General features: G+C 49.6%; 2 long non-coding RNA genes across 6 annotated transcripts in view, besides 4 other annotated features; one reads left to right on the plus strand and one right to left on the minus strand.

Moving 5' to 3' along the window:
• Nucleotides 1-9,215, plus strand: part of LOC107986986 (uncharacterized) — a 29,711-nt gene extending 20,496 nt beyond the window's left edge. For both annotated transcript variants that reach the window (XR_001746149.3, XR_001746150.3), the window contains exon 3: nucleotides 1,014-9,215. This is a non-coding gene — a long non-coding RNA (uncharacterized LOC107986986). The remainder of the gene's footprint in view (nucleotides 1-1,013) is intronic.
• Nucleotides 5,728-6,675: an enhancer, noted in NCBI's record as "H3K27ac-H3K4me1 hESC enhancer chr8:145987405-145988352 (GRCh37/hg19 assembly coordinates)". NCBI's record gives its function as "activates a minimal SCP1, AML or CMV promoter by ChIP-STARR-seq in naive H9 embryonic stem cells {active_cell/tissue: H9 hESC(naive)}" and the evidence as "EXISTENCE:reporter gene assay evidence [ECO:0000049][PMID:30033119]".
• Nucleotides 8,912-9,515: an enhancer, noted in NCBI's record as "H3K27ac-H3K4me1 hESC enhancer chr8:145990589-145991192 (GRCh37/hg19 assembly coordinates)". NCBI's record gives its function as "activates a minimal SCP1, AML or CMV promoter by ChIP-STARR-seq in primed H9 embryonic stem cells {active_cell/tissue: H9 hESC(primed)}" and the evidence as "EXISTENCE:reporter gene assay evidence [ECO:0000049][PMID:30033119]".
• Nucleotides 9,318-15,573, minus strand: LOC105375805 (uncharacterized). Of its 4 annotated transcripts, none has more exons than XR_001746148.2 (3): nucleotides 13,918-15,573; nucleotides 12,369-12,525; nucleotides 9,318-9,702 (listed from the first exon to the last, which is right to left on the minus strand). It is a non-coding gene; the product is annotated as an uncharacterized LOC105375805 (long non-coding RNA). The 4 variants fall into 4 exon arrangements; XR_007061154.1 differs by having other exon boundaries at nucleotides 12,396-12,525; nucleotides 13,918-14,169; XR_001746147.2 differs by having other exon boundaries at nucleotides 12,369-12,568; nucleotides 13,918-13,958.
• Nucleotides 10,372-10,666: an enhancer, noted in NCBI's record as "tiled region #4846; K562 Activating DNase matched - State 7:EnhWF". NCBI's record gives its function as "activates a minimal TATA promoter and a strong SV40 promoter by Sharpr-MPRA in K562 cells {active_cell/tissue: K562}" and the evidence as "EXISTENCE:reporter gene assay evidence [ECO:0000049][PMID:27701403]".
• Nucleotides 12,052-12,346: a silencer, noted in NCBI's record as "tiled region #10254; K562 Repressive DNase unmatched - State 5:Enh". NCBI's record gives its function as "represses a minimal TATA promoter and a strong SV40 promoter by Sharpr-MPRA in K562 cells {active_cell/tissue: K562}" and the evidence as "EXISTENCE:reporter gene assay evidence [ECO:0000049][PMID:27701403]".
• Nucleotides 15,574-15,704: the final 131 nt, after the last annotated feature.

Below are 15,704 nucleotides of genomic sequence, written 5' to 3' on the forward strand. Positions count from 1 at the left end.
TAATCCATTTATTTGCCTTTTCTCCAAAAATCTGCCTTTTATGAGTTGGCTTTCAGTGAACCTTCAGAGGGCAAAGAGGAACTTTCCCTTTGGCCCCTACACAATAAAGCATGGTTGAAAAAATAGCACTTGATAAAGGTGAGGAGACCAGCTTAGGAGCAGGGGGAGAAGGAAAGGAAAGCCAAGCCATCTTGTCACCCAGAATATAGTGTAGGCCCTGTACACTGTGTTAGAATCAAGGCAGAAATTTTATATCTGAACTTGAGACGATCAACGAGGATGGAGAATGTCTAGAAGTCTAAAGCACCATGCAAAGTCACACATGATTAAGAAGATGCCTTACATTATTAATATCAGTGCTGGGGAGATTGTGGAGAATTACGCACTGCTATGCTTGAGGAAGCGTGTTTAGTACAATGTTGAAAATGAATTAAGCTGTACATAAAGAGCCTTAAACACTTCAATTAATCTAGGAATCTATCCTATGGAAATAACAAAAATGACAAAGAGAAGGGTGCCCATTCCAGAGTTTGTTGTGTGTGTGGTTTTTTTTAAATAATGGGGAGAATTTGGAAAATAGCTAGTTATTCATAGAAGGGGAAATGGAAGATAATTATGCTTTTTGCAGCACAGAAATAGATAAATCTATTGTCTTCTGTACACTCAGTTGAACATTATGCAGCCATTATGTGTGGTATTTGAAAAAAAAGTATTGGCAGAGGGTAATGCTTATGAAATAGAATGTGAAAAATAGAATACAAAATTATATTTATGATATGATCTCAATTGTATATATGGGTGTTTAAGTTCACAAACTTAAGGTTTCCAGATATAAGGACCTAGGTTGGTTTGTTCACTGCTCAGCCACCAGCCTGGAACATAGTAAGTACTCTATAAATACTTGGGAAGTGCTTGAAAAACGTATATAAAAAGCTGAAAATAAATACATCATTACTAGTTGTAAGATTGCAGAATATTTGATTTCCTCTTTTTCTTTTTCACATCTCCTACAGGGGGCGTGTAATCACTCTGTGACTGGTGGCTGCAGGCTCTCCTAATGGATATTTCCTATTTACAGGGCTACCAACTGCCAAGCATCCAAGCAGTCCCTAGGCAGCAATCCAGCAGCTGACAGGGTTACCGGCGTCAACTGCCACAGATGCTAGGCTGGTTTGCCATATTTACATGGATTTGATCAGCAATGAGCACAAAAGATAGAGATTGTTTCTTTCTTTCTTTTTTTTGAGGTGGAGTTTTACTCTTGTTGCCCACGCTGGAGCGCAATGGTGAGATCTTGGCTCACTGCAACCTCCACCTCCCAGGTACAAGTGATTCTCCTGTCTCAGCTTCACAAGTAGCTCGGATTACAGGCATGCAGGACCATGTCCAGCTAATTTTTTTGTATTTCGTAGAGACGGGGTTTCACCATATTAGTCAGGCTGGTGGCAAACTCCTGACCTCAAGTGATCCACCTGCGTCGGCCTCCCAAAGTGCTAGGATTACAGGTGTGTGCCACTGTGCCCAGCCTAGATTGTTTATTTCTTACTCAAACAGCTACAGCATGATCAGCAGCCTGTGTCCCTAGACACACAAGATGACAGCAAACCATAGGGGCCAGATGACAGAAAGCACAGATGGTGGCCACGGTGCTGCTGAGGCGCCAGCTCCACACTGCAGCCAGGCAGTGGTGTGTCCGCAGCTGTACCCCAAGGAGGGGCAAAGGGAGCATCCCAGACGCAGCCAACCAGGGGCCCAGGGGCGCTGCTGTCACTGTCGTTTCTTACAAGGTTGCTTGTCTCCCTTAGTTTCAGGAGGAACCTCCAAGCATTCTGCCAAACTCAGTTCACACGGTGATGGACCTTGCCACACAGCTATGTGAAGATGTCCAAGGTCCTCAGGGCCCAGAACAGAGCTGTTCCCTACTCCACTGACCTCCCTGTTTCTAAAACCAGTGGGCTTTTTTTTTCCTTTGAGACAAGGTCTCTCTCTGTTACCCAGGCTGGAGTGCAGTAGCACAATCTCAGCTCACTGCAACCTTCACCTCCCCGGGCTCAAGCAATCCTCCCACCTCAGCCTTATGAGTAGTTGGGATCACAGATGCGTGCCACCACATCGGGCTAATTTTTTGTATTTTTTTGGTAGAGACAGGGTCTTGCTCTGTTGCCCAGGCTGGTCTCAAACTCCTGACCTCAAGTAATCCACCTGCTTTGGCCTCCCAAAGTGCTGGGATTACAGGTGTGAGCCATAGTGCCTGGCCACCAGTGGGCATTTTTTAGTTTTCCTTTACTTGACCTCTCAGCAATATTTGACACCATGAACTGTCTGTCCTTCTTGGAACACTTGATTTCCTTATCATCAATAATACCACCCTTCCTTCATTTTCTGCCAACCACTCTCAATCTCCTTTGCTACTTTCTCCTCTACTCAGTGTCTGCCCTGCGCATTCTCCTTACTTTATTCTACATTTTCCTCTAAGAGAGCTTACCTTGTCTCATTTCTTCAACTGCTACTTACATGTAAATTACCCCACTTAAAAAAATTCCATCTCAGACCTTTCTTCTGTGTTCAAACCTTTAGAAATACATACTCAGCATATTTACCCATTGGCTGGGCACGGTGGCTCGCGCCTATAATCCCAGCACTTTGGGAGGCCGAGGTGAGCGGATCAACTGAGGTCAGGAGTTTGAGACTAGCCTGGCCAACGTGGTGAAACTCCATCTCTACTAAAACTACAAAAAATTAGCCGGGTGTGGTGGTGCACGCTTGTAATCCCAGCTACTCGGGAGGCTGAGGCAGGAGAATCGCTTGAACCTGGGAGGTGGAGGTTGCAGTGAGCCGAGATCATACCATTGCACTCCAGCCTGGGCGACAGAGCGAGACTCCATGAAGAACAACCACAACAACAACAACAAAAATTTAAGCGGGCCTAACACCCACGGCAAGCAGTGCCGGAGAGGGCAATCAGACTGGGGGCCGGGGCAGGCCCTTGTTCTCACTCCTCACATTCATGACAAATATACCTGTGTCTTGGGAAATTCTGGGGAGGAAAATTCAGACCCTTCCTTCCACCGTACCCTCTCAGGAGGAGTGGTGGGAAGAGAGTGACTTCATTGGGAATCCTTAACCTGGGGGACGGATGGCAATCCGTCTGTATCTTCCTCCAGCTGCCTGAGGTACATTCAGTACTTGCATCACCAGTTTCCACGTACAAAAACACCAGAATTCAGGCAGCCTGGCCAACATAGTGAGAACCCATTTCTAAAAATAAAATAAATAAAATAATAATAAAGCCGATTAGGGACCATGATTTTGCATCTGCAGCCACAAGCGCCTGCTAACTGTCATGAGAAACTGACCCTCCCAGTCATATGTAGAGGCCTCTGCCATGGCAAAGAGCAGACCCCAGTGCATTCCGTCTGATCCCAGGAAGATTGGAAGGACAAAGAAGCTGGAGGGGCGGGAGCTACCTTGTTGCGGGAAGTCAGGGACCCCAAACGGAGGGACCGGCGGAAGCCATGGCAGAAGAACGTGGATTGTGAAGATTTTATGGACATTTATTAGTTCCCCAAATTAATACTTTTATAATTTCTTATGCCTGTCTTTACTGCAATCTCTAAACATAAATTGTAAACATTTCATGGACACTTATCACTTCCCCAATCAGTACCCTTGCGATTTCCTATGCCTGTCTTTACTTTAATCTCTTAATCCTGTCAGCTGAGGAAGATGTATGTCGCCTCAGGACCCTGTAATAATTGCATTAACTGCACAAATTGTAGAGCATGTGTGTTTGAGCAATATGAAATGTGGGCACCTTGAAAAAAGAACAGGATAACAGCAATTGTTCAGGGAATAAGAGATAACCTTAAGCTCTGACCTCCAGTGAGCCGGGCAGAACAGAGTCATATTTCTCTTCTTTCAAAAGCAAATGGGAGAAATATCGCTGAATTCTTTTTCTCAGCATGGAACATCCCTGAGAAAGAGAATACGCACCTGGAGGTATAGGCTTATAAACAGTCCCCCCAGGTGCGCCTGTCTCTTATGGTCGAAACTGCAGAGATGAGATAGACTCCAGTCTCCCATAGCGCTCCCAGGCTTATTAGGAAGAGGAAATTCCCACCTAATAATTTTGGTGAGACTGGTTGCTCTCAAAACGCTGTCTCCTGATAAGATGTTATCAATGACAATGGTGCCCGAAACTTCATTAGCAATTTTAATTTCGCCTCGGTCCTGTGGTCCTGTGATCTCGCCCTGCCTCCACTTGCCTTGTGATATTCTATTACCCTGTTAAGTACTTGATGTCTGTGACCCACACTTATTCGCACACTCCCTCCCCTTTTGAAAATCCCTAATAAAAACTTGCTGGTTTTTGTGGCTTGTGGGGCATCAGGGAACCTACCGACATGTGATGTCTCCTCTGGACGCCCAGCTTTAAAATTTCTCTCTTTTTTACTCTGTCCCTTTATTTCTCAAGCCAGCCGATGCTTAGGAAAAATAGAAAAGAACTTACGTGAATATCGGGGCAGATTCCCCAATACTACCTGTTACCGGTTCCTTCTCCACACGCAGGTACTTCACTCTTGCTGCTCTGCAGAGAATGAGTTGGAGGAGCAGAAGCCAGATGCTCCCCTAAAACAGCTTTCTGTGTTTCCCTGGTCCTGAGAGTGTTGTAGGAAAACAATTCTGGCAGCAGCACGGAGAGCAGGCTGGGGCTCTCTGAGACTCTCCCCTGGCTGGATGTGGAGAAGGAGGTCACCAAGGCTGTGGCCATGCCAGGGCGGTCCCTTATGCCTGGAGGAGGGTGAGCTGTGGGATGGCAAAGAGTCTCCTCTCCAATTCAGGCTTCTCTAAGCCCTCCTCCCAACTAGGCTCCAATCTTGGTCTTTAAGAACTGCAGACTCTCAACATAAATGGTTTTGTCCACACATCAGATGCAGGCGAACCCCACCATCAGGGCTCGGCCTGGGAGGGTTCTTGGCTTTGCACAGGAAGGAATTCAAGAGTGAGTTGACAGAGTAAAGTGAAAGCAAAGCACATTTATCAGAGCAACAGAGTATAGGAAAATGCCTGCTCTGTAGACAGAGCAGGGCTACCCCACAGGCAGGGCAGCACTGGTGGACGGCTGGCTAGCAGTCTTCATAGCTACTCCTGAGTTATATGTGATATGTTTTGGATCTGTGTCCCCACCCAAATCTCATGCTGAAATTTAATCCCCAATGCTGGCGGTGGGCCTGGTGGGAGGGGACTGGATGACAATGGTGGATTTCCCCCTTAATGCTCTTCTGAGAGTGAGTGAGTTCTTGAGAGCTGGTCATTTAAAGGTGTGTGGCACCTCTACCCCCTCTCTTCTCTCTTCCTCCTGCTTCCACCGTGTAAAGTGCTGGCTCCCCCTTTGCCTTCTGCCAAGAAGCAGGTTCTGCCATGCTTCCTGTACAGCCTGCAGAACCATGGGCCAATTAACCCTCTTTCTTTATAAACTACCCAGTCTTGGATATTTCTTTATAGCAGTGTGAGAATGGACTAATGCAATATGCTAAAGAAGGGGTGGGTTGGCCAGGTGCGGTGGCTCACACCTGTTATCCCAGCACTTTGGGAGGCCGAGGCAGGAGGATCACGAGGTCAGGAGATCAAGACCATCCTGGCCAACATGGCAAAACCTGTCTCTACTAAAAATACAGAAATTAGCCGGGCATAGTGACACGTGCCTGTAATCCCAGCTACTCAGGAGGCTGAGGCAGGAGAATCACTTGAACCTGGGAGGCGCAGGTGAACTGAGATTGTGCCACTGCACTCCAGCTTGGGCGACAGAGTGAGACTCTGTTTCAAAAACAAAAAAGAAGGAGTGGGTTATTCACAAGTTTTCTACAAAAGGAGTGGGCAGTTCCCTGAACGGAGGAACCCTCTCTTTTAAGCCGTATAAGGGGAACCTGTGGTGCTGCTATGGCATCTGTAAACAGTCACACGCTGGCGGGCATGTCTTATGCTAATGTATTAATTACAATTTGCGTGTAATGAGCAGTGAGGGCAACTAGGGCTGTTCCTATCCCCATCTTTGTCCTGGCTGGGTGTGGCCAGCTGCCGCACTGCATCCTGCCTGGATCAGCCAGGCCTCCATTGTTGCTGGGAAAAGAAGTCCCATGGGGGGCCCACTTCACATCCTGCACTGAGACGCACACAAACCCTGGTGCGGCCTCCAGCCCTCAGGCTGACCCGGAGTGACCACTTCACATCCCGCACTGAGACGCACACAAACCCTGGTACGGCCTCCAGCCCTCAGGCTGGCCCGGAGTGACCACTTCACATCCCGCACTGAGACGCACACAAACCCTGGGGCGGCCTCCAGCCCTCAGGCTGGCCTGGAGTGACCACAGCCACTTTAGAATGTGTGCCAGAGGCAGCTTAATGTCACCAAAAGAACTTGTTCCAAGCAAGCCCGGGAGGACAGGGGAAGAGAAGAGACCTGGTCAGTGGAGGAGCCACAGGTAACAGCTGGACTCTCTTCGTCCGTCCGCCCCCCACAGTCCCCGCTGGACTCTCTTGGTCCGTCCGCCCCCCACAGTCCCCGCTGGACTCTCTTGGTCCGTCCCCCACAGTCCCCGCTGGACTCTCTTGGTCCATCTGCCCCCCACAGTCCCCGCTGGACTCTCTTGGTCCGTCTGCCCCCCACAGTCCCCGCTGGACTCTCTTGGTCCGTCTGTCCCCTAGCCCCTACTGTTCTGGATGTCTGCCCATTGCCACAGCCCAGAAGCTGGGAATCTCAGCTGTGCCCTCAAAGACTGGACGTCAGGTGAGCTGTCCATCCTTCCAGTGAGTGCCTTCTACTCTGCCTGGAGCTTCTCTACCTAGCAAATGCCTCTAGGGCTTAAAAGAGCCTCCTTGTCCATTCAGCAAGTATGTATTGGGTACCACCTGTGCGCCAGGCTGTGTGCAGGAACTGGGGCTTTCTCCTCGTGGAGTGCACAGTCTGCTGGGCTGGAGACATACGAATACTAAACAAGACACAGCAGAAAAAGGGGAGCCGAGTGCCCCAGGAGCACACGACATAAGCCAGCCTGATCTGTGGGGTCAGGGAGGCCATTCTGAGGCTGTAGCCAGGTAGAGAGTGGCTTAAGCCATGGAACTGTGTGGCAGAGGCCCCATGGCACAGGACAGTGTGGCAAGTCAGGAAAAGCCTGAGGCTAAGTTGGGGAGGAAGAGGTACAGGTGAGACTAGAGATGGGGCCAAACTAGGGGGGACCCTGTTAGCCTGCACTTCATTCCAGGATCACAGGACACTGCTAATGGGTTCTCACAGTGGCTGTGTTGTTTTTTTTACGTTCTCTGGCTGCTCTATGGCGGTGTTGATGCCCCTGATGGGAAATGTTAGGGACCTGTGTTAGCACGACTCCTGTGGGGGTAAGGAGGAGAAGGAACAGGAACCCCCAGTTTGGGTGGCAGATGGGACGCAGACAGCGAGAGTGAGAAAAGTCAACATTGGAGCCAGAGGTGACCCTGTGTGGGCTAGGCCCAGGTGGCCGTCATGGCCACCACACCAGAAAAGAAGCAACAAGTGGGGAAATGTTTGCAAAATAGACACAGGCCTCACCCAAATCAATGAAATAAGACAAATAAAAAATTTTCCGGACCGGGTGTGGTGGCCCACGCCTGTAATCCCAGCACTTTGGGAGGCCGAAGCAGGCGGATCACGAGGTCAAGAGTTCAAGGCCAGCCTGGCCAACATGGTGAAACCCCGTCTCTGCTAAAAATACAAAAAAATTAGCTGGACGTGGTGGTGGGTGCGTGTAATCCCAGCTACTCGGGAGGCTGAGGCAGGAGAATTGCTTGAACCGGGACCTGGGAGGCAGAGCTTGCAGTGAGCCGAGATCACACCACTGCACTCCAGCTACAGAGTGAGAGTCTGTCTAAAAAAAAAAATTCCAATAGAAAAAAATGGGCAAAAACAGGGACAAAGTTGAAAAGCACATGGCCAAGAAACACCCGACAGTAACAAATGCACAGATGTGGGGAACTGGTGCGAGTCTTCAGAGCTGGCGGAAATGGGAAGCGGAGTAACTATTTTGGCAGAAAAATACGTAACTTCCCTGCGAACCGGAATCCCACGTGTACACATCCAGAGAGTTCCCTTTGTGGGTTCATGAGGGGACGCACGCAAGGGATGTCCCAGCAATGAGAACATGGAATGACCTGAATGAGAGCGGGGGAGGGGCCACCCGGGACAAAGCTGCAGGGACAAGGACCACTCATCCTCTGTTGCAACTTGCAGGCTCAGGAAGAAGGGTCTCCCCCGTCTACTGGAGTTCTTGACACTGGAATTTGGGGCTTGTCACAGGCCTATTCAGAAAGGGGCCTGGTCCTGAGAAATAATAGGGTATTGAAGGCTTGTGGCTATAATGCTGCCTGTAGTTCCAAAGCTGGAAGAGGCAGCCCACAAGCAGACAGGGCGCCGTTTCTCCTGTGTAGGTGGAGACTGGGCATAGTGGCTCACATCTGTAGTTCCAGCACTTTGGGAGGCCAAGGCAGGAGGATCGCTTGAGCTGAGCCCAGGAGTTTGAGACCAGACTGGGCAACATACTTTACTGGACATTTTGGGGACATTGGGAAAATTTGAACATGGGCTGGCTATTAAATGAGATTACAGAATTACTGTTAATTTTCTTAGGTGTGGTTATGTGCAGTGATGGTCTCATTCTTGAGAGGAGGGCTGCGACACTTGGGGAGATGTGTTACCAGCTGCAAATCACTTCCAAATGGTTCAGCCAGAAATACAACATGTAGAGAGCATTTCGGAGAACAGGACAACAGCGCGGCAGCTGCTGAATTCAGGTGGATATGGAAGGCGTGGTTTTTTTTTTTTTTTTGAGATGGAGTCTCGCTCTGTCACCCAGGCTGGAGTGCACTGGTACAATCTCGGCTCACTGCAACCTCTGCCTCCCAGGTTTAAGCGATTCTCCTGCCTCAGCCTCCCAAGCAGCTGGGATTACAGGCGCTTGCCACCACGCCCAGCTGTTTTGTATCTTTCATAGAGACGGGGTTTCACCATCTTGGCCAGGCTGGTCTTGATCTCCTGACCTCGTGATCCACCCTCCTTAGCCTCCGAAAGTGCTGGGATTACAGGTGTGAGCCACCGCGCCCGGTCGGAAGTAGTTGTTAATATTCTCTATGTTGGAAGTTTTTTGTAATGGAAAGTTGGAAGCAAAACAAGATAGGAAGCAAGGTGAACGCTGCAGAGTTCGACTGCGTCAGACGGACCAGAAGGCCGACTGCAGGCGGGCAAGGGCTATGCGGTGGCGGTAGTGGTTTGATACCTGACATTCCAGTAGAATGCACAAAAGCCTTTACTGAAAGGGCAGGAAGTCACAAGGCTTTCTGTAGGAAGAACACATCCCTGTTCCACTGGCCCTTCCCCCGTGAGCTGGGGTGGGAGCTTCTCCTGTTCCACTGGCCCTTCACCCGTGAGCTGGGGTGGGAGCTTCTGGGTGTAGCCGGTTGCTCCAAGGCCTCTTCCCAAGTTCCAGGTTTACACAGGAGGCCTCATGGCCACCTGTCCCATCACCAGGGCCTAAAACCTGGTTGCTCTTCCTGTGGTTTGGGGAATTGTGGGCCTGAGTGATGTGGTTCTTCTGTCGAAGCTGGGGGACTGAACCACCCTGACTTGGGTGGTGCAGAGTCAGGGAACACCAGATTTGTTTCTTCCAGCTGGGGCTTGGAGAAGCAAAAGGTGAGTACAGAAGATAAGCAATAAAACCATACTGTGGCCAGGCGCGGTGGCTCACGCCTGTAATCCCAGCACTTTGGGAAGCCGAGGCAGGTGAATCACAAGGTCAGGAGATCGAGACCATCCTGGCCAACATGGTGAAACCCCATCTCTAGTAAAACACAAATAATTAGCCGGGAGTGCTGGCGTGCACCTGTAATCCCAGCTACTTGGGGAGGCTGAGGCAGGGGAATCGCTTGAACCCGGGAGGCGGGGGTTGCAGTGAGCCAAGATCGCACCACTGCACTCCAGCCTAGCAATAGAGCAAGACTCCGTCTCAAAAAAAAAAAGAAATCATAACTGTATTTATTTGCCTCCAGTAATTTTTATCACTCTGCTTGATCCCAGTTACATTACTGAGGGTAGTGAATTCCATCTATTTTTTTCTGTAACTTAAAAGTATTTTTGGCCGGGCGCGGCAGCCGGTGGACCCATCCCAGCACTTTGGGAGGCCGAGGCGGGCGGATCACGAGGTCAGGAGATTGAGACCATGTTGGCTAACGCGGTGAAACCCCGTCTCTACTAAAAATACAAAAAAATTAGCCGGGCACGGTGGCGGGCGCCTGTAATCCCAGCTACTCAGGAGACTGAGGCAGGAGAATGGCATGAACCCGGGAGGCGGAGCTTGCAGTGAGCCGAGATAGCGCCACTGCAGTCCAGCCTGGGCGAAAGAGCGAGACTCCATCTCTTAAAAAAAAACAAAACTATTTTTGCCTTGTCTTAAATTGATCTCTAGCAGTGCCTTTTTCCCCACACCCACGTATTATTTCAGGGGTCAGTGACATTTGATGACGTGGCTGCATATTTCACAAGGAGGAAATGGATGCATCTAGCTCTTCACCAAAAGGCGGCTGGAGAACTGTGGGAACTTGACCTGGCTGGGTAGGCTCTGCCCTCTCCCCTGCCCCTCTCCAGGCTCTCTGAGTACTTCACTTGTTGAGAATGAGGGCAATTCCACATCCTTTCTAGACCTAGAAACTAGACCCTTTCTCCACGTGACAGACCTGAGCTCCACAGGGAGGAAAGAGGCTGGGCCTGAGGTAGCCCCTCTCTCCAAGTTCCCTATAGATGTTGCACCATGGAATTCCACTCATGCTTGGCAGGACTTGCTGTCTCCCCAGCATGATTTGGTATAGTCCTGATGAATCTGAATTTTTTTTTCTTTTCTTTTCTTTTTTCTTTTGAGACAGGATTTCACTCTGTTGCCCAGGCTGGAGTGCAGTGGCACAATCATGGCTCACTGCAGCCTCAACCTCCCAGGCTCAAGTGACCCTCCCACCTCTGCTTCCCATGTAGCTGGGACTACAGGCACGAGCCACCACGCCTGGGTAATTTTTTTGGTTCTTTGTAGAGACAGGGTCTCACTCTGTTGCCCAGGCTGGTCTCGAACTCCTGGGCTCAAGTGATCCTCCTGCCTCAGCCTCCAAAGTGCTGGGATTATAGGCATGAGTCATTGTACTCAGCCAGAGTCTGAACCGTACAGGCATGAGTCATTGTACCCAGCCAGAGTCTGAACCTTACAGGCATGAGTCACTGCACCCAGCCAGAGTCTGAACCTTACAGGCATGAGCACTGCACCCAGCCAGAATCTGAACCTTACAGGCATAAGCCCCTACTCCCAGCCAGAGTCTGAACCTTACAGGCATGAGTCACTGCACCCAGCCAGAGTCTGAACCTTACAGGCAGGAGTCACTGCACCCAGCCAGAGTCTGAACCTTACAGGCATGAGCACTGCACCCAGCCAGAGTCTGAACCTTACAGGCATAAGCCCCTACTCCCAGCCAGAGTCTGAACCTTACAGGCATGAGTCATTGTACCCAGCCAGAGTCTGAACCTTACAGGCATGAGCCCCTACTCCCAGCCAGAGTCTGAACCTTACAGGCATGAGCACTGCACCCAGCCAGAGTCTGAACCTTACAGGCATGAGCACTGCACCCAGCCAGAGTCTGAACCTTACAGGCATGAGTCATTGTACCCAGCCAGAGTCTGAACCTTACAGGCATGAGCACTGCACTCAGCCAGAGTCTGAACCTTACAGGCATGAGCCCCTACTCCCAGCCAGAGTCTGAACCTTACAGGCATGAGCACTTCACCCAGCCAGAGTCTGAACCTTACAGGCATGAGTCATTGCACCCAGCCAGAGTCTGAACCTTACAGGCATGAGCAGTGCACCCAGCCAGAGTCTGAACCTTACAGGCATGAGCACTTCACCCAGCCAGAGTCTGAACCTTACAGGCATGAGTCATTGCACCCAGCCAGAGTCTGAACCTTACAGGCATGAGCAGTGCACCCAGCCAGAGTCTGAACCTTACAGGCATGAGCAGTGCACCCAGCCAGAGTCTGAACCTTACAGGCATGAGCACTGCACCCAGCCAGAGTCTGAACCTTATAGGCATAAGCCCCTACTCCCAGCAAGAGTCTGAACCTTACAGGCATAAGCCCCTACTCCCAGCCAGAGCCTGAACCTTACAGGCATGAGCACTGCACCCAGCCAGAGTCTGAACCTCTTAATCACCTTGCACTCTTTTCTCCCTTTCCCCTTCTTTCTCCCTCAGCCATGACTCACCCTCATCCCTCCCCACCCCGGACATAGTTTTATCTTTAGAGCCCCTACCTATTCCACCATCCTGGGCCTTCCTACCTGGTCCAGCTGAATCTCTCTGCCTGCTCTCTGCAGACCGTAGGCTTTGGTTCTCAGCAGAAATGCACGTGTTGTGTTTCCATCTCTGCCAGCAGAATTTTCAGGCCTCAAACCTGACCTGATCTTCTAGCTGGAGAGAGAGGAAGAGCCATGGCTGCCAGATGTTCCAGGGACTGAAAATACAGACACACAGAGATGCTCCTTCCCAGGTGAGAAGAGGGAAGCAGTTCTGGAGGAGGCAGTAGTGGGATACATTAGGAGACATAACCTGAAAAAACAGAGCCAGGCGGCTGCGCGCGGTGGCTCACGCCTGTAATCCCAGCACTTTGGGAGGCAGAGGCAGGCGGATCACAAAGTCAGGAGACCATTCCAGCTAACACGGTGAAACCTCGTCTCTACTAAAAATACAAAAAATTAGCTGGGCGTGGTGGCAGGCGCCTGTAGTCCCAGCTACTCGGGAGGCTGAGGCAGAAGAATGGCATGAACCCAGGAGGCAGAGCTTGCAGTGAGCCGAGATCGCGCCTCTGCTCTCCAGCCTGGGCGACAGAGCAAGACTCCGTCTCAAAAAAAAAAAAAAAAAAAAAAACAGAGCCAGGCTGGGCACGATGGCTCACACCTATAATCCCAGCATTTTGGGAGGCCAAGGCGGGTGCATCACTTGAGGTCAGGAGTTCGAGACCAGCCTGGCCAACATGGCAAAACCCCGCCTCTACTAAAAATACAAAAATTAGCCAGGTTTGGTGGCATGTGTTTGAAGTCTCAGCTACTCACGAAGCTGAGGCAGGAGAATCGTTTGAACCCGGTAGGCGGAGGTTGCAGTGAGCTGAGATCACACCACTGTACTCCAGCCTGGGCGACAGGGCGAGACTCTGTCTCAAAAAAAAAAAAAAAAAAAAAGACGGGTGTGGTGGCTCATGCCTTTAATCCCAGCACTTTGAGAAGCCAAGGTGGGTGGATCACTCGAGGTCAGGAGTTCGAGACCAGCCTGGCCAACATGTGAAACCCGTCTCTGCTAAAAGTACCAAAAAAAAAAAAAAAATTAGCTGGGCATGGTGGCGTAGGCCTGTAATCCCAGCTACCCAGGAGGCTGAGGTAGGAGAGTCACTTGAACCCGGGAGGAGGAGGTTGCAGTGAGCCAAGATCGCACCACTGTAGTCCAGCCTGGGTGACAGAGCAAGACTCCATATCCAAAAAAAAAAAAAAAAAGAAAGAAAGAAAGAAAGAAAGAAATTAAGGGAAACAATTCCATTCACAAGAGCATTAAAATGAATAAAATATTCAGGAATAAATATAATCAAGAGGCAAAAGACTCATAAACTGAAAAACTACAAAAGATCACTGAAAGAAGTTAAAGAACACATAAATAAATGGAAATACACTTGCTGTTCATGGATGGGAAGACTTCATATTGTTAAGGTGACAATACTACCCAAAGTTATCTACAGATTCAATACCTATCAAAATCTTAATGGTGTTTTTTGTACATATAGAAAAACCCTTAACTGGGCGTGGTGCCACGAACCTGTAGTCCCAGCTACTCAGGAAGCTGAGATGGAAGGGTCGCTTGAGCCCATGAGGTCGAAGCTGCAGTGAGCTGAGTTTGTGCCATGGCACTCCAGCCTGGGTGACAGAGTGAGATCCTGCTTCAAAGAAAAAAAGAAAAAAAGGACTATCCTGAACTTCATATGGAATGGCAAGTGACCCCAAATAGCCAAAACAATCTTGAAAAAGAACAAAGTTGGAGGACTCACACTTCCTGATTTCAAAACTTAATACAAAGCTACAATAAAAAACAATGTGATACTGGCATGACAGGAAATAAAATGTAATACAATAGAGAGCCCAGAAACAAAGCCTTGCATATATTATCAGTTGACTTTCAGCAAGGATGCTTAGACCCTTTGTCGTTTGGGTCCCACCAAATTTTGTATGTTGAAGCCCCAACCCCCAGTGTGGGAGACAGTGGCTGTGAGAAGGTGACACAGGTTAAATGAGGCCATAGGGTGGGGCCCTAATGCAATAGGGCTGGTGCCTCTAAAAGAGGAAGAGACACCAGAGATCTGTCTCTCTCCACCATGTAAGAACACAGCAAGAAGGCAGCCATCTGCAAGCCAGGAAGCGAACCCTCACTGGGAACTGAATCGGCTGGCACCTTACCTTCCCAGCCTCCGGAATTGTGAGAAATAAATTTCTGTTGCTTATGCCAAGCCACCTAGTCCGTAGTATGTTCTTATGGCAGCCCAAGCTAATACATCATTCAATTGGAAAAGGAGTCTATTCAATAGATACTGGCTGGGCAAGACAGCTCACGCCTGTAATCCCAGCACTTTGGGAGGCCAAGGCAGGCGGATCACTTGAGGTCAGGAGTTCAAGAGCAGCCTGTCCAACGTGGTGAAGCCCTGTCTCTACTAAAAATAAAAAAATTAGCTGGGCGTGGTGGTGCATGCCTGTAATCCCAGCTACTAAGGAGGCTGAGGCAGGAGAATCACTTGAACCCGGGAGGTGGGGGTTGCAAAAAACTACAAAAGATTCACTGAAAGAAGTTAAAGAACACCTAAACAAATGGACGGATCCGCCCAGCTCAGCCTCCCAAAGTGCTGGCATTACAGGCGTGAGCCACCATGCCTGGACAAAACAGTTAAATTACCGTATGATTCAGCTATTTCACTCCTAGGTATATAGCTAAAAGTACTTGAAGTAGGGATTCGAAAACATATTTTCACACCAGTGTTCACACTAGCATTATTTACAATAGGCAAAATGTAGGAACACCCAAGTGTCCAACAACAAATTAACGGATAAACAAAATGTGCTACATACATACGACATAATATTACTTGGTTATAAAAAGTAATGGAAGCCGGGCGCAGTGGCTCACGCCTATCATCCCAGCACTTTGGAAGACTGAGGCGGGTGGATCACAAGGTCAAGAGATCAAGACCATCCTGGCCAACATGGTGAAACCCCGTCTCTACTAAAAATAAAAAATTAGCTGGGTGTGGTACTGCGTGCCTGTAGTCCCAGCTACTCGGGAGGCTCAGGCAGGAGAATCGCTTGAACCCGGAAGGTGGAGGTTGCAGTGAGCTGAGATCGCACCACTGCACTCCAGCCTGGCGACAGAGTTAGACTCCATCTAAAAAAACTAAAAGTAACAGAGGCCAGGCACAGTGGCTCATGCCTGCAATCCCAGCACTTTGGGAGGCCAAGGTGGGTGGATCACTTGAGGACAGGAGTTTGAAACCAGCCTGAGCAACGTGGTGAAACCCCATCTCTACCAAAAAATACAAAAATTAGCCAGGCACAGTGGCA

This window comes from Homo sapiens, chromosome 8 (assembly GCF_000001405.40).
Source record: "Homo sapiens chromosome 8, GRCh38.p14 Primary Assembly".
Classification (NCBI taxonomy): Eukaryota; Metazoa; Chordata; class Mammalia; order Primates; family Hominidae; genus Homo; species Homo sapiens.